The sequence below is a fragment of the Homo sapiens genome, chromosome 12, assembly GCF_000001405.40.
Source record: "Homo sapiens chromosome 12, GRCh38.p14 Primary Assembly".
In the NCBI taxonomy this organism is placed as follows: domain Eukaryota; kingdom Metazoa; phylum Chordata; class Mammalia; order Primates; family Hominidae; genus Homo; species Homo sapiens.
The window spans coordinates 46,217,708-46,239,657 of NC_000012.12; the positions used below are offsets into that span (position 1 = coordinate 46,217,708).

Sequence of the window (21,950 nt, forward strand, 5' to 3'; positions counted from 1 at the left end):
ATCAAATTTCAAAATTCTGAGGGTCAGAAGACCAGCACACGGTGACCTTGTAGCATGTGATCATGTATAATGCTTACAAATTAGATTAGGGAATTAAACGGGTGGTTTTAAAAGGCCAGGCAGGAAACAGGTGGAGAGCAATTATTTGTACCGTTCTTTCCATTTCTTTCCTTGTAGGTAAATCTAAGCTCTGTGGTGCAAAGCTTTTCTTAAACTAGCCTCACTGTCAGTTAGGTATTTTGTTTTGTCTAGAAAAATAAATATGCATTGCTGATGGCCAATTCAAATAGTATCTAATATAATCCTCAAAAGAAAGAGGAATCTAAAAGAAGTATCCCAGTAAAAATAGAATTTTAGTTTAGTTGGTTCTTTGTAAAAAAGTTAAAGGGAGGTCTGAGCTTAAATGAGGATGTTGTACCAGTGAGAAAGAGCGCCATGTACCACTACCACTTCCTGTTTTTAACCTATAGTGGGTAGAGGGCTGTGGGTTTTGTGGGCACTCCATTTATAACTCTTGACACTCTTGATGTGTCCTCGTTCCTCTTTTCCCACTCCACAAGGACAAGTCGTTTCCCTTCTCCTCAAACCTAGATCCCTACTCTTTATCATATTCTAAAGATGTTAACTCTTGAGTGACAGAAAAATCCCATGTGACTGTTGAAGTAAAGGAATATGCTGTTCTCGGTGGGTATTTGGGACTTTTGTTCCGGTAGAAAGGTGGATTGGGGGCTTCATTCATATTTTCCCATTCTGTTTTTGTGGTAACAAGACACATTTAAGGAGAAATAGGCGGTTTAAGAGGAGCACCCAATGGACTTGTTGCTCTCCTCCCCACAGATGTCAGTCATCTTGGGCAAGTTGCTTAGCCTCCGTTAATTTTAGTTTTGTAGTCGCCCAATGGGTTCACCTTGCCTGCTGCCTAGACAGAACCACTTTATTGAGACAGGGGAATTGCAATGGAGAAAGAGTAAGTCATGCAGAGTCAGCTGTGTGGGAGACCGGAGTTTTATTATTACTCAAATCAGTCTCCCAGAGCATTCGGGGATCAGAGTTCTTAAAGATAATTTGGCAGCTAGGGGCTTGGGAAGTGGGGAGTGATGATTGGTTAAGTTGGATATGAAATCATAGGGGGGTGAAGTAAGATTTTCTTGCTGTCTTCTGTTCCTGGGTGCAATGGCAGAACTGGTTGGGCGAGATTACCAGTCTGGGTGGTGTCAGCTGATACATGGAGTACAGCTCTGCAAAATATCTCAAGCACTGATCTTAGGTTTTACAATAATGATGTTACCCCGAGGAGCAATTTGGGGAGGTTCAGACTCTTGGAGCCAGAGGCTGCATGACCCCTAAACTGTAATTTCTAATCGTGTAGTTAATTTGTTAGTCCTGCAAAGGCAGACTGGACCCCAGGCAAGAAGGGGGTCTTTTTGGAAAAGGGCTGTTACCAATTTTGTTTCAGTCAAACCATGAACTGAATTCCTTCCCAAAGTTAGTTCGGCCTATGCCCAGGAATGAACAAGGACAGCTTAAGGGTTAGAAGCAAGATAGAGTTGGTTAGGTCTGATTTCTTTCACTGTCATAATTTCCTTGGTTATAATTTTGCAAAGGCAGTTTCAGTTTCTTTATCTATAAAATGGGGGTAATTAACAGGGTTGTTATAAAGATCTCATGGAACAATGTACACTTTACAACTATCTTTTCTTTTTTAAAGTCCTTTATAAAATTAAAAGTCAATCTTACCTAGCCAGCCACACAAAAGGAGGCTGCGGGTGGCTTTGGTCTGCAGGCTGTCCCTTGCTGACCCCTGATATAGATGCAGATCTTTGAAATCATGTGCCTGACATAAGGTAAAGTCTGTGGCCAGAGAACAAAGCAAAACTAACTGGCCCACAAAGGAGTAGTTTTCTAATTAAACCAACTACCACTCTGTGAGTAATAAAAGTTCAAGCTAACCTTGAAAATCCAACTCTCTGCACCACACTTAACCTGCTCTACTGTGATAACTCCAACCTGGCCTACTGTAAACCAGATGAGTGAGCAGAGAAGGCATTCTACCAATCATGGAGGTAAATAATGCTGTAAAACCATAGCCAGTATAGTTAAGTTGTCTGTTGCAGGCTAAGAAAAATACACTGTACCAAAACAGAGATCACACTGCTGTCCTTGGATAGGACCAAGGCACCTGAGGCAACTCAGCATAAATAGGACTGAGTGAACTCAGGGTATACACTCTAGCGCATGTGCGCGCACACACACACGCACACACACCCCTACCTTTCTGGGGCTAAGAGAATTGAATTCTTAGAACCCCCTTATCAGATGCATCACAGACGACTCATAAACTAGCAATAGCTGCTCAACTTCTAAAAACAATGAGTGGGACTCATCTCCTACACATGCCAACTATTTCTGTTTACAAAATAGGCACTCATTGTTAACGCAATGCTAACCACTTTCCCATTTCCCTATTTCTGAAAAGCTTCTTAATCCAGTGGATTTCAATAGAGTTCAATGGCACTGCCACTGTCCCTTTTCCATGTATTTCAAATGTTGGCAAGCCTGAATGTGCCATTTCTCCCTCTCCCGGGTTATTACTCCCAAACAACAGACTCTGATGTCAATGATTTTTGCTGCCAGCCAAAGGACAATTTTCTCTTCAAATCATTTCTAAGGAACTGTGACTATAACTCAAAGAATTCTAAAAACAAGAAACTGATTGGCAAGAGGAAAGATGAATGTGACTAGTCCGATGGACCTCCTAGGATCATCCGGAAGAGTAGGGTTTCCTTATTGACTTCCTCTTAACTGCTCTGTCTTTAGATCACAAGATCCAGTTTGGTATTTCCTAAGGAGGCAAAGAACTGCTCACTTAGGAATGCACAGAGGAGATGACTTACCATTTATAAGGAATAACTTGATAAATAGCACACAGACCATCTTCGTTGCCACTGAGAGCAAAATTATTATCTTGGTAGGTGTCATTCAACCTTTTTGGCATATATGTAAAGTAATAAAGCAACGATAGCTTAAGAGCAGGCCAAGTTTGTATAAAGGTATGCTGCAATCTCACTGCAACTTAGTAGAATTTGCTGAAAAATATTTAGAGACATCAGAAAGTGATGCTGGTGCAATTGGTTAAGAATATAATTCTCCCGATAGAATGAGAAGACTATTTTTTGTGATGGGATAATAATGATCAAATTCCCATAACATACAAGCAAGGACTTAGGGCAACGTGCTGATGGGTCTATACTTTTACTTCTATTTCTATTTACTCCTTATGTAGGCTCAATTGTAAAACACTAAATTTAAAGAGAGAAGGGACCTGGTAGTCTGATCTCAGTTTACAGAGACCCTTATATTTTTCGACTTATCCTTACTGGAAGGGGTACTAACTGATTTGTTTGTAAACATGGATCATAGACAATACAATGGTGCATAGTTTTGCTGGTAGGATAATTACAAATGGCCCACAAAGGAGAATATTGAGAGACAGACAGAGAGACAGGGAGGGAGAGAGGGCCAGAGAATTCACCTACAATTAAGTGAACAATCCACCAAAGTGAAGATAATTGCTGTAACTGACAATGACAATTACTGTCCTTTTCCCAAACAGCAATTTAACAACAAATGCCCTTTTGCAATACCAACCTCATCTAGTATTTCTTAGCAGTCTCAGAACTATTTTGAATTTTCAAATGAAGGAGGCATTCCTAGGAAAGTAGACAATGAGCAGCCAGTCCCATGCTGACTCTGTGATTATTATCACATCTCCACAGCCTACTAAAAGTCTGAGGGTGAACTAAACCTTTCAGTTGATCTTTTTTCTCTCTGATAAATTTGCAACAATAATGAAAGCCACTGTTTTGCCCTAAAGCCTTGTTTCTGGTTTTGCAAAATCTAATTCTTACATATCCATTCACTTATTTCAGTAAAACTTTGCTGAGGAGCAGCTACGTGCAAATGCTGTTCTAGATCGTGTTAGCGGGAGGAAGATGATTTCAACAAGGAAGAATTTGGCATTAATCCTGCCCTTGTAGGGCTCAGCATTCAATAGGGAAGGTAAAATGTATGCTTAAATAATGGAAGTGATACTTACTATTAGAAAGATACAAATGACACTGAAAAGGAAAGGAAGAGAGACCTCCCTTCCACCTGGGAGGATCAGACAAGCAGTTTTGGAGGAGATAACATCTGATCTAGGCCTTCCAGGACCATGAGGATTCAGAAGACAGAGATGAGACAGGGTACGGGTGGGCTCTGGAAAGACCAAGGTAACAGTTTTAAGGCAGGCAGCCTCTACAGAAAAGGGAAGGTTAGTGTGGCAGAAGCTGAGGTCATCTGAAGGGAAAAGAGGTTGAAAATACAGTCTGGAACAAGTGGCACAGCATTGACAGAGTCCTCATTCTAGCTTCATGGTCTAACTATCTACACCAAAAATATATTTTCTCTCTCAAGTTTTTAGCAGGTAAGAGGAAAAAGAAAAAGTCTTACTGCACTGGTGTTAAGTTCTTCAAAAAACCAATTTTTTCAACTAGCTTTTTTTTTTCCTCTAAAAGCAGGTTAAAAATAAATTCAAAGAGTCTAAACTTTCCATCTCCACTCCACCTCTAGACCCTTTCTCACTCTCCAGAAGTAACCACTGCCAACAGTTCTCTTGTGTACCCTCCCCAAATATTCTGGGCAATATAATGTATACATATAGACACACCCTCCTTCCATGCTCACTTCCACCCAATATTCAGTTTGTATTCATGTAATAGTACTATGCTACACAGTATTAATAATACTATGCTACGCAGTAACATAGTGCTACACACTATGTTCCCCGTTACAACCTAGGAGATTTTTCCTCACCTGCCCATATAAGTCTATTTTACTCTTTTAAGTAGTAGTCTAATACTCTATTTTATGAAAGTACCATGGTTATTTAACAAGTTTCCTAGGGTTAAACTTGGTATTATTTGATTTTGCTATCACTTGGTGTTTAATTCTTAATAACAAAATGTTTAGTTACTTCTTTCAGGAGTTCAACAGCTCCTGAAAGCAATGGGAAATCTTAAATTGCACATGCAGGAACCCACATGACAAATATGAAGCCACTGAGAGGTTTATTGGTTTCACAATATACTTTAAGCATACATTTTACTTGTTGTGAACAGGAACCTGACATCCTCGGTCTACAGTTTGGTACACTTGATATTGCCAAGCTGTTTTCATGACAGTAAAGGGGATGGTTATTGGTGGAACACTAGCAAGATAATTCAGGAACACTGGCTGATTTTATAAGGTGATTTTAAAGGTACATTATATTGGAAAGTAAAAGGTAAGTACTAACTTGCAAGCATCCGTTGATAAAAATAAAGTTTTTCTCAAGTTGTAGAGTAATAATGCAACTTTGGTGTCTGAAGAAGGCATCACCAAAGGCGGTATGGTGTTTTAGATCACGCTGGCTCTAGAGTCAAGCAAGCCTGGATGGGACGCTGGCTCCCCTACTTTCTAATGTGTGATCACAGGTAAGTTATTAAGCCTCAGTTACTTTATCTGTAAAATGGGGCTAATACCTACCTCATAATGTTGTTGGTGGGGATTAAGATAGTGTAGCATATATAGATACTGTTCAGTAAATGTTAGCCATTATTTAGTGACTACCTAATACTAACTGTAGTATTTTAACAAATATCTACAGTGTGTACTATGCACCACGCACTACTATCACTCTCTCCATCTCTCTTTCTCTCTCACATTCACACACACACACACACACACACACACCCCACTCATTTATTCTTCCTAGTAGCTCTATGCGTTGGTACTAATAAAAGTCTCCTTGCATGCCACTTTTCAAAGTCTGTTTTTAGATAAATTATCTTTTTCACTCCCACAACCACAACACAAATGAGATAGAAAATGGAAAAAAAGAATCCAAAAGGTCTGGTATTATAATCAACCAAATAAAATTTAAACTATTGTTTTACACACATTGTACTTTTGTTTCACAATTAACATTTCAAAGAGATTGTTCACAAACTCAGTGTTAATAATAAACTGATATCTCAGAAGTGTCGTGAATTCTACTTTTGTTTTTCATGGTTTTCAACTTAAGGACTACATTATTAAAATAAAAATAATAATACATGTTAAGAAGTTATGGAAAAATAAAAAGCATTTATTGCTTTATCAGATTCTGTGTAGTGTAATAAACATCATACTTACCTAGTACTATGAGATGTGTTCTAGAGATTAATTTCCTGTAAAATGTATGCCTTTAATAGAAATCTTCAGAAAATGTAACAAAATGTAACAAAACAAAACCCACCATTCTTCCATGTCAATATTGATTTCTAATTCCTACTTCTGCTATGATGGAGTTATGGGTAAGACTCAGATAAAGAGGAAGTTATGGTGGCAGGAAATTCCTTTAGCATCTATTGCCTTTTATTTGGGTCCTCACTCCCAGGAAAACAGCTCAACAAGTACTCTTTACCCTGAGGTACTTGTGCCTCAGTACATCCCTGACTTGCAGCCTCAGGGTCCAGCCTCACTTTGTTACCCATAGAGGATATATACCTGCAGAACTATGATAAATCGAGAGTGCCCACCAGCATCCTCAGAATTCAGAAAAATGCAAAATCCAGCACCATTCTTACAACAGGACAGGACTCACTGAATCTAACTGAATTAGAGTGTGTTAAACAGGGATGACAGCCATTATGGATAGGTTAAAAAAAAATGAGCTGCAAACTCATCCAAGAAAAAGAAATCGCACCAACAAGTTTCCAGATGACTGCAGAGAAGGCTCCACACCCAGCCTCAGGGAGACACTAAGGAGCCTTCCCAGCTGCTGGTCCAAAGAAGCCTGGACAGTCTTGGACTCCTTTCCTGTGTTGGCCAATGTGAGTCTGGAATGGAGCCCTGTACCAGATGAAATATCTTGATCCTGCCAACTGCTTCTTGGCTTTGAGCAGTTGTAGGAGCAGCTGGTTTTACAAGAGTCACAGAGTGAATCCTTGTCCTGAGGTAGGAGAGTCCTAAGTTTAGTGAGAAACTTAAAGTTTGAGCCTTTGTACAACTACCTTCATGAGATTTAGCTGAAGACTTGGTGTGTTGCGCTTGTTATCCATGAATCTTACAAATAACTAAATGATCTATAATAGTTTCATCCAGGAAAAATCTTCCTTCAACTACAAAAGTAAATTTTTCCACTTCCCCGCTTTAATCAGACACTAAAGTGTCATGAGATAGGAGGTCAATTATCCCTCAGCCAGTATAGTTAAAAATCAATTGAATTCTAGGAATAGTAGATTGAATACAAGGACTTACTCCCTCTCCCTTGATATCCCAGTAAAAAGATTTTTTTTAAGGCGTAAAGCTGCTAGGATAAAATATAATAGTAGACAATAATGAAATTTTGAAAGCTGGAAAGCAGACAGACCTGAACCATAAATCGGCAGTGGAAAAAGCCAAGACCAACTCAGTTTACCTCAGAGAATCTCTAAAAGGCACTGCTGGCATGACTGAAAGTTGGGGATAATGGAAGGGGTGAGCTAAAATAGTGAGGATCTGTTGAACTTTTTTCAAGAAATAGCTAGATTCCCCAGACCAGGTCCTACTCCATAAAGCTGACTGGTTGGTCCTCCCCTATCCTGGCAACAATCTGAATATATGTTCTCTGGAAAGTATACAATATATGTTTCTAGGTGAGAGACTAGGCACAATTTGTGGGCAAGAGGCATACTCTAATGAAAATTGGGAACTGAGTGAACACATGCCTGCTGGGATAATCATTCCAGCCCTTTCCCCCTACTTGGTTCCCAGAAAGATGGCGGTGAGGTCTAGGCCCCCAGAACAGGGGATTGGGAGCTGTTCTCTGGGTGATCTGAACAGCCAAAGAAGAGGGTCTTAGACAAATGACCCTGGTGGTTCCCAAGTAAAGGAACATCTTAAGTAAATAGCATCTTAAGTGAAGCTATTGCGAACAAGCCCCACTCATGTGCGCCAGGCTCAAATCAGCCTTGTTTTCCCCCCATTCTTGAAGACAGCAGATAAAGAGGAACTATCTGACATCTGGGCAAAGAGTCTAAGGTGAAAGACCCCAAAACAAACAAAAATCAGCTTGTACCTCAGGGATACAAACAGCAAAATCCAGATTGTGGAAAACTTTACACAAATGGCCCTGTTTCTTAAATAAGTGGCACAGAATAAAAGGAAAGAAATGGGAAAATATAAATTAAAAAAGACTTAAAATACATATCAACCAATTGCACTGTGTGAACCTTATCTGAGTACTGATTTGAACAACCCATATGTTTAAAAACATAACATAATCAAAGCAATTTAAATACTGATTGTATATTTGATGATATTAGGGAACTGTTGTTGACTTGTTTCTAGGTATGACATATTGAGTTAAAAGAGTCCTTATGTTTTAGAGATATATACTAAAATATTTAGGGATGAAATAATAAAATAGCTGAGATTTGCTTCAAGACAATCTTGGTGGGGGACTGACTAAAACAACCATCCATAGAAGGAAGGAAACATACAAATCTTTTTCTACTATTCTCTCTACTTCATGTTTTAAATTTTTCATAATGCAGAAAAAAAACTATCATTAGAATCCTCAGAGAAGATATTGAAATCATGAAACAGAACCAAAATAATATTAAAAAGAAACATTCTTAGAGTTTTTAAGCTCCTATAAATATAGTAACAGAAATAAAAAATTCAATAAAGAGGGGAAAAATTGAGGACATATCCCAAAAATTACAGTGAAACGTTATAGAAATGAAAATAAAGGAAAGATTAAAAAAATTAGAGGACTAGTCTAGAAGGTCCAAAATCTGGGGGTAATAGGAATTCATCAACACAATAATGTAAAAAAATTTCCCAAACTGAAGGTCATGGATTTCCTTTTTTTTTTTTTTTTTTTTTTTTTGAGACGGAATCTTGCTCTGTCCCCCAGGTTGGACACAATCTCGGCTCACTGCAACCTCTGCCTCCCGGGTTCAATCGATTCTCCTGCCTCAGCCTCCTGAGTAGCTGGGATTACAGGTGCCCGCCCCTACACCCAGCTAATTTTTTGTATTTTCAGTAGAGACGGGGTTTCACCATGTTGGCAAGGCTGGCCAGGCTGGTCTCAAACTGCCAGGTGATCCACCGGCCTCAGCCTCCCAAAGTGCTGGGATTATAGGCATGAGCCACTGTGCCCGGCCAAGGCCATGGATTTCTAAAAGAAAAGATTGCACCCAATGCCTGACACAATTGATGAAAACAGGCCCACATCAAGGCACGTCATTGTGAAACTGCAGGATACTGGGAACTAAGAGATTTGACAAGTTTCCAAAAAAAAAAAAAATTAACAAAACCTGGCTATATATAAAAGATCAGGAATCAGAAGCATATAGGACTTCACAACAGAAAAAAGCTAGAAGGAAATAGAGCAATACCTTCAAAATTCTGAAGGAAAATTATTGCTAGTATAAAGTTCTATATCCAACCAAACTACCAATCAAAGGTAAAAGTAGAATAAAAATATTTTTCAGAAATAAAGGTCTCAAAAATTTTATTTTCAGTCACCTTTTCTGAGCAATAACAGCACATAAGTAAATCCAGAAAGAATAATAAATGGAATATAGGAAACAATGGATCTAGCAAAGAAGAGAGGTAGAGGAAATCCTCAGAAGGGTGATCAAGAGAGATTCCAAAATTAAAGCTACCCTTTATGCCTCAGTTTCCTTATCTGTGAAACAGGAAATTAATGATAGCAGCTACTTCATAGAGTTATTGTAAGGATTCTGCATAAAACACTTGGAATAATGCCTGGCACTACCAGATACTACTTGTATCTCTTGTAGAGATACAAGAATTACTGTTGTTACAACCATCAAAGAATTGACTTTTTACACTAGGTTAATTTATAACTTGACATATTGCAATAACTTTTAAAAAAAGAAATCAATGTAATACACATTCTGAAGTGAACATATTCCCAGCTTTGGAATGACTGAAAATAGTCACAGAACCATAGCGTTTTGGAGGTTGGCCTGGTTCTGAAATTTTTCTTGCACAATTTCCTTGTTTTGAAGAGGAAGGAACTGAAGCTCAGAGTGGCTAAGAAACTTGCTTAAAACTACATAGCCATTTAGAAGAGGAGTTGGGAGTAGCGCTCAGGTGTCTCATGTAAATGCACTGAAAACCAGAAGTGTAGCTCCTCAAGCAGTCTACTATCCTCAGAGAGTCAGAATTTCACATATACTCAAAAAAATCACCATAGAAATATGTTGTCCAATTCTGCCATATTACCCTAAAACCTGGCACTCAGCTCAAGCGGAAAGGCAACTTAGAAAGATGCATTCAGAGTGATCAAGAGAGGAGGCTAGAGTTAGGTTCACTGAATTAGGCTGACAATATGGAAGACAATGTATCGAATTCACCATCTTACACAGTCTTTTAATTTTAGAAAGGACATGTTAATTTACACACACACAAAATTAATGCCTAACACAGGGCAGCATGGATGGGCATTTCTGTTCCTGGAGTAATGGAATGGGCAGTAATATTCTTTTATCTCAGTTTTTGATGTCTTTTTTGAAAGGATATCCACAGTTTGTAGGATTAGTAACCATTTCGGTCACTGCTTGTAAGGAAATGATGCTCCTGTCAAAAGGACATGGCAACAAGGACTATCTAGCCAGGCCAATGAAAAGCGTGAGTTTCAAGTCAGGGAACAAAAGGCAAGATCCTCGGAGAAGTGCTTTCTCCCTCACCTCACCACTGACACTCGTGTGACATTTGAGAGGGAATCAGGCTGGGCGAGAATTTTCTTAGTACAAATTCTATCATCTCTCTTAATCTTGTTCCAACTAAAAATAAGCCCTCCATACATTTGCAGAAAGTCCCATTCAACAGTTTGAGATAAAGTTATTTAAAAAGAAAATTGCCCATTTTCTTTTCATTGAATCTCAGTGGGAAAGTACATGCTAATTTCTCATCTTCAAAACACTGAAAATTTCTATGCTTCTTGAATATTTATTACAAACAAATTTGTAATTGCCCTTTGATGTAGTACACGCTTCACAGCAATCCAAATGCCAAAGTGGTGACTGGCTGGGGTTAAACACCTCTTAATATTTTAACTGAGATTTAAAGTCACAGGTAGACTCCAAAAATACCAAAAAAAGTTATTTTCAAATGTTTTAATCCTTTTCACAAATGCTTATTTCAGTATTTTTGATTAATAAAAAGATTTTCTCCTTCCTCTTTGTTGTAAGCATTAGGTACAGTTTGGAAAATCACTCAAGCAATAAATATCAAAGTATGTACTTGTAACTTAGCCAAGTTAATAAAAAAACTATTTATAAATATTTCACATTTCTTCTATGTAATAACAGAAACATACAAAAAGTTCAGTTTTAAAATGGAAAGTACCGGCACGTCAATACTCACAGAAAAAGTAGGATTCCAGTGTTTGCCAGGGCAAAGGCGAGTCCCAAAATCCCACTGCCCATAATGGCGTTGCTTAGGTTAAAAACAGACATGCCTAAGGAGGTTGTACCTGGAATCTGAACAAAGAAACAAACATTGACACTAAGCAAAATAATCCCCAAGAAAGTTCATCAAGCCAAAGCCTTTAATGCACTCTCAGGAACCAATATGGAAGTAAAATTCAAGAAAATCCATTCTTAGTTATCTAGTTATTTCCTTGAATGGATTTCAAGAGAAAATACATAAGGTATGAGGAATATCCTGGTGAATACAGGTAGTTATGCTTTTGGTACTATGCTACTTGAATTAAAAAGATTTGTCCCAATTTATATGATTAAAAAAATAAGCATACTTCATTATAATGATACTTACATACTCATCACACTTCTTTTTTTCCAAATGGCTGTTTGTGAGACTTCTTCTACTTTCACGATCAGAAATAAACTTGCTGTAAAGACATGCGTAATATATTTAACCTTATGATAATGATTTGAAGCTTGACATCTTTACTAAATGATATGTTACTCATCAAAACATACATGAACAGTTACCAATCAGCTCTCTAAGAGTTTACAGCCCTATTCAACCACCAACTCCCCCCACCTTTTTTTCTTTTGCCATTATGAGTTGTCTATATTCTCGTTTTACCAAATAAACTATAAGTGCCCCAAGGGCAGGCACTTTGCCTCATTCATTTTTATATCCTGCACTCTACCTTGTACAAAACAATGCCAATAACAGGTGCTCATCTTGAGATGAAATGAAAGACAACCGTAAGTCAAAAACAGCTATACATTTTGAATCATTTTAATAATAAATTTAAACACTATATGCAACATAAATTAATTTTTGTATAGTTTTTCCCTAAGTGGAAAATTAGATAATATCAAGACTACTATAAACCTGGTATTTAAAAGGATACTAGAGGCAAGTTTTCTTTTGAGCTCAGGTTCTTGGACTACAAAATTGTTAAATAGAAATTCCCTCTCCCTTGCAGAAAAGAAAAGAACTGTTTCACCGTCAGACATTCCTTCAGCGCCTGCTATATGCAAGTCACTGGAACAGGCACTGGGGAGACACGGGGGTAGGTAATAAGTGATGCAAACAGGAGGCTACAGGAGTTCAGACTAGGAAATTACGGTGGGAGGCAAGGCATATGGTCGATGGTGAGGGTCAGAGCCAAGGCTTTGAGAAAGCAAGGGACTTAGAACTTGAATTCAAATCCTCACTATCTCTGAGGGCCTGAGCATGCTACCCTAGTTTCCTCATCTGGGAAACAGAAGTTAACACTATTACATCATCTTATCAAGTTATTGGGAGACTTAAATGAGAGAGTACATGTTAAACATCAGTCCAGCACCTGGCACAGAGTAACAGCAATAGATGTTAGACAGTCTTCTCCATGGGGAAAATAGGACTTGAGATGGGAACAATTCAGCCAGGCTAAATGGAGTAAATGATGTACAAATATACAGAAGTAAGAATTTAAAATGCTTTCTTTAAGAATCATCAAATATATTCAGGGTGAGTATCAAAACTTTATAGCCTAAATTTCTAATTTAAAAAAATTATCCAACAAATGATTTTGTCAAAGAAAACTCCAACAGCAGATGTTGGCGAGGATGTGGAAAAAAAGGAATGCTTATACACCATTGGTGGGAACTTAAATTAAGACAGTCTCTATGGAAAACAGTATGAAGATTCCTCAAAGAACTAAAAATAGAACACCATTCCATCTAGCAATCCCACTACTGGGTATCTACCCAAAGGAAAGGAAACTATTATATCAAAAAAATACCTGCATTCATATATTTATCACAGCACTATTCACCATAGCAAAGTCATGGAATCAACCTAAGTGTCCATCAACAGATGACTAGATAAAGAAAATGTAGTGTAGATGTATACCACGGAATACTATGTCACCATAACAAATAATAAAATCATGTCTTTTGCAGCAACGTGGGTAGAGCTGAAGGTCTATATGAAATGACTCAGAAACAGAACATCAAAACCTGAATGTTCTTACTCATAAGTGGGAGCTAAACAACGGGTACACGTGGACATAGAGAGTGAAATAATAGACACTGGAGACTCCAAAGAAGGGGAAGGTGGGAGGGGGCAAGGGATGAAACACTATCCAATGGGTACAACGTTTACTATTTTAAAAGCCCAAACTTCACCACTATGTATTATATTTGTGTAACACAACTGGACTTGTACCTCCTAAATCTATAAAAATAAAAAATTAAATGAAATTAAAAGTCCAGGCATAGGCAAACTGCTGCATATATTAGTAAGATATGTTAAGGATGCTTTTTGGCTCTTCTAGTCTGGAAATTCAATTACCTGATCATGGTTAGAACAAATGACAGTGAATTTTGCATTAATAAATATAAAACCACTTGAACTGGACTAGTTTAATGAAGCAATGATGCATGCCTATTTAAACTGTACATTAGATTTTAATAAACTTTTTTCTGAGACAGAGTCTCACTCAGTCACCCAGGCTGCAGTGCAGTTGTACAATCTCCACTTCCCAGGCTCAAGTGATTCTAGTGCCTCAGCCTCCCAAGTAGCTGGGATTACAGGTATGCACCACCACGCCCAGCTAATTTTTGTATTTTTAGTAGAGACGTGGTTTTGCTATGCCAGCCAGGCTGGTCTTGAACTCCTGGCCTCCCAAAGTGTTGGGATTACAGGCATGAGCCACCGCACCCAGCCTCATACACTTTTTTCAATGATGCTATATTTCACAATAAAACATTTTTAAATGAAACATATGTATCATTGATGTTGATTTTATTCATTGACGTTTTTCATCTTTATCCAAGGGATCTGGTTCTTTCAGGCATTATTTCTCCAAGTTTGTGTTATTTCAAACAAAATAACCAAAGTTAGGCAATACACTTACTACAAACTTACTCTGGGATCATCAGTTGGTATAAGCTATACAATCTGCAGACACTGCTTTTGGCTAGGACCTGCTGGGGACCAAAAGGATGTGGAAGAAAAACCTTGGTCTCTTGAAACACAAGAGCTGACATTCGGACAAGGAGAGACCATACCAGGTAACACCAGTATAGGAACGTCAGGCTGTGCAGATTAAGATGAGGTAAGGAGTCCAGAGAAGGAAAAAACCAGCACAGACTGGGATTAGCCAGAGGAAACTAAAAGACAAAAGCCTAAGAAATAATATAGAATGTTCTTAGCAAGAGATTGACATAATAAAAGCAATATATTTGCAGGCAAACTCTGGTGGTTGTATATAGCATTGCTGCTAATAACTGCTTTGGCTTTTCTTTTGTCTTTAATGTTTTGAATCTTTCCACAGAACTAAGGTTTACAGATCTGGCTGCAGAATGGCAGGGGAAAGCAGCCTTCCCTTTCACACAGGCTGCCCTAAGAAAAGTGGGGACTGGACTTTCCAAAATGAAATTGAGTCAAAATATTTAAGTGTTGTTGTCAAAAGACTGTACAGTGTCCCTTGGTATTTGTAGGGGATTGGTTCTAGGATACCCCTCTCTCTTCTGAGATACCAAAATCCAAGGATGCTCAAGTCCCTAACATAAAATAGTTATAGAATTTGCATATAACCTATGCATATCCTCCTGTATACTTTAAGTCATCTCTAGACTACTTATAATACCTAATACAAATGCTAGGTAAATAGTTGTTATACTATATTTTTAAATTTGCATTTTTTAAATTGTTGTATTGTCAATTTGTGTTTGTTTTCTCAAATATTTTCAATCCTGAGTTAAATCTGCAGTTGCAGAACCCAAGGATATGGGCAGCCAAATGTATTTCGTCAAGCTAATTTTATTATTATTATTATTATTTTAGAGACAAGTTCTTGCTTTGCTGCCCAAGCTGGAGTGCAGTGACACAATCATAGCTCACTGTAACCTGGAGCTCCTAGGCTCAAGTAATCCTCCTGCCTCAGCCTCCCAAGTAGCTGGGACTACGGGCACACACCACCACACCCAGCTTATCTTTTAAAAAAAATTGTGTAGGGATGGAGTCTTGCTATGTTGCCCACGCTGGTCTCGAACTCCTTGGCTCAAGTGATTCTTCCAAACTCGCCTTCCCAAAGTACTGGGATTACAGGTGTGAGCCACTGTGCTTGACCTAATCTGGCTAATTTTCATAACCAACTCAAGTCTACTAAGTCTATCCAGCAGTTTTCCTTTGCCTTTCTTGTGGAGGGACTTGTTTTCCAGAGAATTTCCATTATATTTAAATTAATAGAAAAGCAAATATTTTCAAACAAACCAAACAAAACACCAATAAACTGCCCGTTATGGAAGATCTAAATTCCAGGCCTGGTAACACTCCCCTGGGTTGGTAGCAAAGCATAGGTGAGCAGAGAAGAAAGAGATCCAGGCACTGTGACATGAGGGGGCATTCAGCCAGGTCAAACATTGTACAGTTGAAGCAGATAAAGAATAAGTCCCTGTATGACTGCCAGCTGTTTCCTGCAGAACTTCTGCATAATGAGAATAATGATACTGACAGAGCTATTTTAATGAGTAACCGTTAAATAGCACATTAAAACACATTATTTGTAGAGTGTCTCCTTGGTTCTGTCTCTTTCAGTCTACTTTCTGCAACAAGACTTAATAGGTTTTCCCAAAAATCTTCACTGCCTCACCCACTGAATTAGCTTCAAGCACAAATTCCTCACCCTGCAATTCCAGGTACTACTTAATTTGCTTTTGCCTCAATGTTCCAATCTTAGCTCCCCCTGCTCCTCCTGAGGTGCTGAGGGCTGAGATACAATCAGTGCATTCTGAGAGCAGAGAATGAAAAACAAGATGGCAGTAGGAATTCACTTTCCCTTGAGGAGGTCCTCTTTCTTCCTCTCAGCCAATCTTTCCCTATCAGTTCAAAACCCTCATCATCCACAAGTCTTCCACACTCTGGTTTGGAATTTTTGGACTGTGACCTACTTATTACTTTATCTGTACTACACTCTGTCAACACTGAACTCATCTTGAATTGTGGTTGTCCAGTGCTGTCTCTCAGCTCCTTCTAATATGTACCTAACCACACATTAGCAACTCAGAGGAGCTCTCCATAAGCTGAACATGCATCTTCTGTTTAGAAATTAGGGAGTAGCTTAAGCTGGAGGGAAATTTAGCTCAATAAGAATGAAGTACTTAAAGCGTCCCTATTCTCTTTATGGTGTTTCAACTTTTTCTTCTCTTTAAGTCTTTACATCTTTGCTTTGTATTTCTTTTTTTCTTTCTTTCTTTTTTTTTTTTTTTTGTTGAGACGGAGTCTCTGTCTTTCGCCCAGGCCGGACTGCAGTGGCGCTATCTCGGCTCACTGCAAGCTCCGCCTCCTGGGTTCACGCCATTCTCCTGCCTCAGCCTCCCGAGTAGCTGGGACCACAGGCGCCCGCCACCGTACCCGGCTAATTTTTTGTATTTTTAGTAGAGACGGGGTTTCACCGTGTTAGCCAGGATGGTATCGATCTCCTGACCTCGTGATCCGCCCGCCTCGGCCTCCCAAAGTGTTTGCTTTGTATTTCTATACATTTAAAAAATACATAAAACTAACTAACTTTTTGTAATGGAAAATTCCATTCAAAATAACTGGGTCAAGCAGCGTATCACAAGTTTCTGCTGTCTCACCATTTAAAAGATGCACTTGCTTGTTAAAAAACACGACCTCTGGCAAAATAGTTGATGTAATATTTCTCTTTATTGACTTTAAATATGCTATGGAAGAAGGTGCCTTTGACATGTTATCTCAGGATGATAAAATATTATTAAAAAAAGAGTTCTCATTGGGTGTGTCTGTACCCATAAAACAGAATTTAATTAACCATTAGGTAGCCAATTGCTCTGTGAACAAACAAAACAAAACAAACTCCACAATGGGTGATTGGGTGACCCTGAACAGACAAAGCCTTAAAAAATGATGTAAGCTGTTATACTAAGGTACATTGTGAAGAGAGGCAAGAAACAGAGAGGCAAGAAACAGAGAGGTTCTGTTATTTAAAACCAGAAACAAATCAACAGTAACAATCTAATTAAGGATGAGTTGTACAACAGAAAGATAATCTTCCTATTTTAATCAGGTTCTTACTAGATTATACTGTTTCCTCTGAGAATTCATAACATAAAAGAGATGAGTGGTTGAACTTAAATGACCTTTCCTACTCCTTTCTCTGAAATGCTAACATTGTATTAAAAAGGAGAATAAAATGAAAGGGAAGAAGCAAGTAACAAAGATATTGGAAAACATGAAAAGGGAGAATTGAAGAAACAGGAATCTAAAGAGAAGAGAAGACTGAGAGGTAAGCAAAGCCTTATTTGATGGACAAATTCCACTGAAAATAGGAAAAAAAGACTTTAATTGTAACAGGAGAAATGAAAGCAAGAGAAGAATTTTCTGACATGAAAATTGAATACAGAAAGAAGTTATGGAATCTTCTTCCCTAAGGTATAGAAAACATAGAAGAAGAGGGATAACTTTTCAAGGGTGCTCTCAAGTGATAAAAATTTAGCCCACAAACTCCAAAAGATATATAAAGACAAGTGGGTTCAGGGTGTAGTGACAAGAGTTGCCTCGAATTCTTTTAAAAACAAATCTTAATGAAAAAATCTCAAATTTTGTTAAATAGTTCCTGGGTCATAATAGCAATAAGTATACAGAAAGAACAATAGCAGATAAATATTAAAATACAAGCATATTTGTCTGGGTACACCTAGAATAATCTACTAATGTTTCACCAAATTTAAGGTGGCAATAACCAGCAATCATCCAAAACCTAGAGCAATGTCATTGCTTCTTGAGGTGAAGAAGAAAGAAGTGCTTGCCAAAGAAAGGGGACTGCATTTTTACCGATAGACTTTTCTCATACTAAGAGGCTTACTATTGCCAGACACTGTGCCAAGTACTTTACATGAATTTCCTCATTTATTTTCACAATAATTATATGTGGTTGGTATTATTTTTAGCCCCAGTTTGGAAAAATTAAGTAACTTGACCTAAGTTACATTACTATTAACCCATTTATGCCAGGGGTTGCAATTTTTTATGTGTGAAAAATTAGACCTTGGCAATGACCTTGAGCAGTAGGATATAAATAAGTCCCACAAGCTTAGCGTTCCAATAATGGAACACTAGGCATAAATGGGCTAACTAACCTGTTGTGGCAGGATTTGAATATAAGCAGGCTAAGTGCAGAGCCTATGTTCTTAACCTACAGATAATAGTGCATTAAACATTCCCCAACAATCCCATGAGGAAAGGTATTATTATTATCCCCATCTTAAAGGGATGGGATTGAGGCTCAGAGCACAAGATCAATAAGATCTATGATAGAGCTGGGATTCAATGCAAGTCTAAATCCAAAGCCATGTACTTTACTCTCTCTCTCAGTCAACACATAATTTGTAATGTCCACCCTGTAGACATTACCTAGACACTAGGATAGGCAGTCCACCCTGCCTAGACACTAGGATAGGCAGAAGGAATATAAAGATGATTAAGACAGTCCCTTTTCACAAGAAGTTCACATTTAGAGGAACAGTCTAGAGCTTTCTACTCAAAGTTTGGTTCATGGATCAGCAGTTATGGGCGTCACCTGGGAATTTGCTAGGAATCAGAATTGCAGACCCCACCCCAGACTTACAGAATCAGAATCTGCATTTAACAAGGTTTCCAAGTGTTTCATACACACATTAAAACACCAGTTGGCAGCACTGGTCTAATGGATATTTTAAAAGGTATTGCCATTCCAGGTATAGGTTTCTATGACTACAACCCCAAAATTTGGGCATGAAATAAAACAACTGAACTGGAATAACGGCAGATGTCTGAATGCTCAAATGACTCCACTTTTATTTTCAACCAAACTTAAAAGAATAAAAGGTTCTTATTGTATCCAATTGCAAAGTTTCCAGGCGGAGCTATCAGCTAGATGCCAAGTAACACACCATCAATGTTTGTTTTCAACATTTTCTCCAGCTTCCTAAAAGTTCACTGTTTGGGGAGAAGTGGTTTTCTTAGATTCATATAATTGGACCTACCTTCCTCCCACAAATTTGAGAAAGCCGCAGGAAGAATGAGGGGTATTTAGGTGTAGTTTTTGCAGGAATCATGGACTACTAAAATATGCCAATACAGTAAGCCAGATAACCCAGTAGGGACCTTCAATAAAATTGGCAAGGGTCTTTTTCTTTATTAGCTTCATGCTATAACATGTTGTTTTTAATTGTGTTAGAGCGAGAAATGAAGCAAGAGTCATGAACTGAGTCAGAGAAGGAGGGGAAATAAAGAAAAACAAACAAACAAACAAAAACTCATCACACTGCATTTGCAATACAGGAACCAAAAGCCAACAGACCTCCCTCTGTACCAACGCTTGCCCTGGTTGGAGCCTATAGGGAAGTGAGCTCATCCAGGCAAGGTGCCTAAGTTGCGGGTGAGAATAGATGTTTCTCCCATCTACTGCAAGTGGTAATCATCTAAAAACTTGACATTTTTAGTAAGTGACACTTTTAAAAATCAAGTTCAGATTCTAAACTGACTATTATAAATGACTCCCACCTTTAAGGCCCTTGAGGTTTGGATTGCTTTGATAATGGATTGCTTTGATAATTTTATAAAACCACAATGTCCTACTTGTGGTGAGAATTCCTTCCACTGTTCAGTGGAGGTCAGCAGGGACTACTGAACTGTCCAGGAGTACAGCACATAAAATGGCCCTGGTAGCATTTAATAGAACTATTAAAGACTAGCTTTTTACCAATGCCCAAGCATTATAACCAGAGGGAGGAGGGTAGAGTAAAAATACACAAATTTTAGACAGACCTGTGTGTACCCTTGGATAAGTTATTTTCTTCCTCTGAACCTTAGTTTCCTTATTTGTAAACGGAAACTTTACATTTTTCTCACTTGCAGAAGAATACTTGTGCATGGCAGTTATTAAGGATATGTGGTAGCTTATGTAAAATACCTGGCACTCAAGAAATGGGTATTATTATTAAGAATTACTCAAAAAAGATGAAAGAAGTAAGTACACTTGAGCCCCATAGTAAGAAACATCACCTAGCACAGTTGACCGTACTTGGATAATAATGAGGAAAAGTGTCTGAGTTGGGGACTTAACCTCTTAAGAACATTTAAAGGAGGAAAAAAGGAGAACATCTGTGTTAATAAATGATGGTAGCTAAATCCTATGCTGGGCTTTTAATCACATACTTTATCAGAATGTAGGCCATCAGAAATGATTTCTACAAAGATGCCTGGTTAGTTGACATAATGTTCTTATCCTCTTCCATCCCAATTTCCTTTTGACCCTCCCAAAGTATAACATTGTAGGTGTTCTAACAGTCCTGCATATGTCACTCTCTTCTCCTAATCTTTCAGGAGGCTGTGCCGCTAACTCCCAAGCTGGAGGCTTCCTGCTAAGCCACCTAGACAATCAGTGGGTCTAAGAATGCCACAAATCATTTTTTTAAAAAGACATTTGGTTCTACTCTTGTGATGTAAGCAATAAAGACCCAAGGGTTGGAAGGACTTGCCTGAGGACACAGCTAGTGGCTGGGAGCTTCCAGGCCAGCACTCTTCCTACCCTGACCCTCTACTTCTTCCCCATTGCTTCTCTCCTCAGTTGTGGTCGCTTTCCTTCTCTTTTTCTTTTATGTACTATGTCTCTATTATAGTTCCTCACAGAGTCATTTGGGCTCAACCATTATTATTATTTAAAATCCATACTACAAATGATGCTTATAAGGATGACACACTTGTAGTTTAACACAGATTCATTAGCAAATGCAACTTTGACCATTTCTTGATTAAAATATGTACAGATGACTGTAGTACACATTTGGATATGGGATGCAGTGAAATTCCAGTAGTCTGTTTAATTCATAACACAGAGCTTGGTTGGGGTTCAATGTATTCATACATTTTTATTAGTCTCAATTGAAAGATTTTAAAAGATGAATAAATTACTTTCCTATTTGCTTCATTTGCTATTGCAGACTATGCCCAACAGATGTCACATAAGAAATTCAAATTATATCTTCAAATGGAACATAACTTTAGTAATGAATAATTCAACAGAATAACTAAAAACCAGAATAATTTTTAAAACCATTTCTTTTTCTTTACTTTTTTTTTTTTTTTCTGAGACAGAGTTTCACTCTGTCATCCAGGCTGTAGTGCAGTGGCATGATCTCGGCTCACTGCAACCTCCGCCTCTCAGGTTCAAGCGATTCTCCTGCCTCAGCCTCCCAAGTAGCTGGGACTACAGGCATGCACCACATGCCTGGCTAATTTTTTGTATTTTTAGTAGAGACGGGGTTTCACCATGTTGGTGGGTTTCACCATGTTGGTCAGGCTGGTCTCGAATTCCTGACCTCAAATGATCCACCCACCTCGGCCTCCCAAAGTGATGGGATTACAGGTGTGAGCCACGAGCCATTTCTTTCACTGGATAGAAA

At 38.3% G+C, this 21,950-nt stretch overlaps 1 protein-coding gene across 52 annotated transcripts in view, besides 1 other annotated feature; it reads right to left on the reverse strand.

Annotated features, from left to right (window-relative positions):
- SLC38A1 (solute carrier family 38 member 1) overlaps positions 1 to 21,950 on the reverse strand; it is an 85,981-nt gene that overhangs the window by 34,645 nt on the left and 29,386 nt on the right. For all 52 annotated transcript variants that reach the window (NM_001077484.2, XM_047429588.1, XM_047429598.1 and 49 more), the window contains 2 exons: positions 11,857 to 11,932; positions 11,446 to 11,561 (listed from right to left, as the gene is read on the reverse strand). In NM_001077484.2, the coding sequence (NP_001070952.1) occupies positions 11,446 to 11,561; positions 11,857 to 11,932 (192 nt within the window). The remainder of the gene's footprint in view (positions 1 to 11,445; positions 11,562 to 11,856; positions 11,933 to 21,950) is intronic.
- Positions 2,218 to 2,277: a silencer, noted in NCBI's record as "silent region_4381". NCBI's record gives its function as "represses an Ori minimal core promoter by ATAC-STARR-seq in GM12878 lymphoblastoid cells {active_cell/tissue: GM12878}" and the evidence as "EXISTENCE:reporter gene assay evidence [ECO:0000049][PMID:35858748]".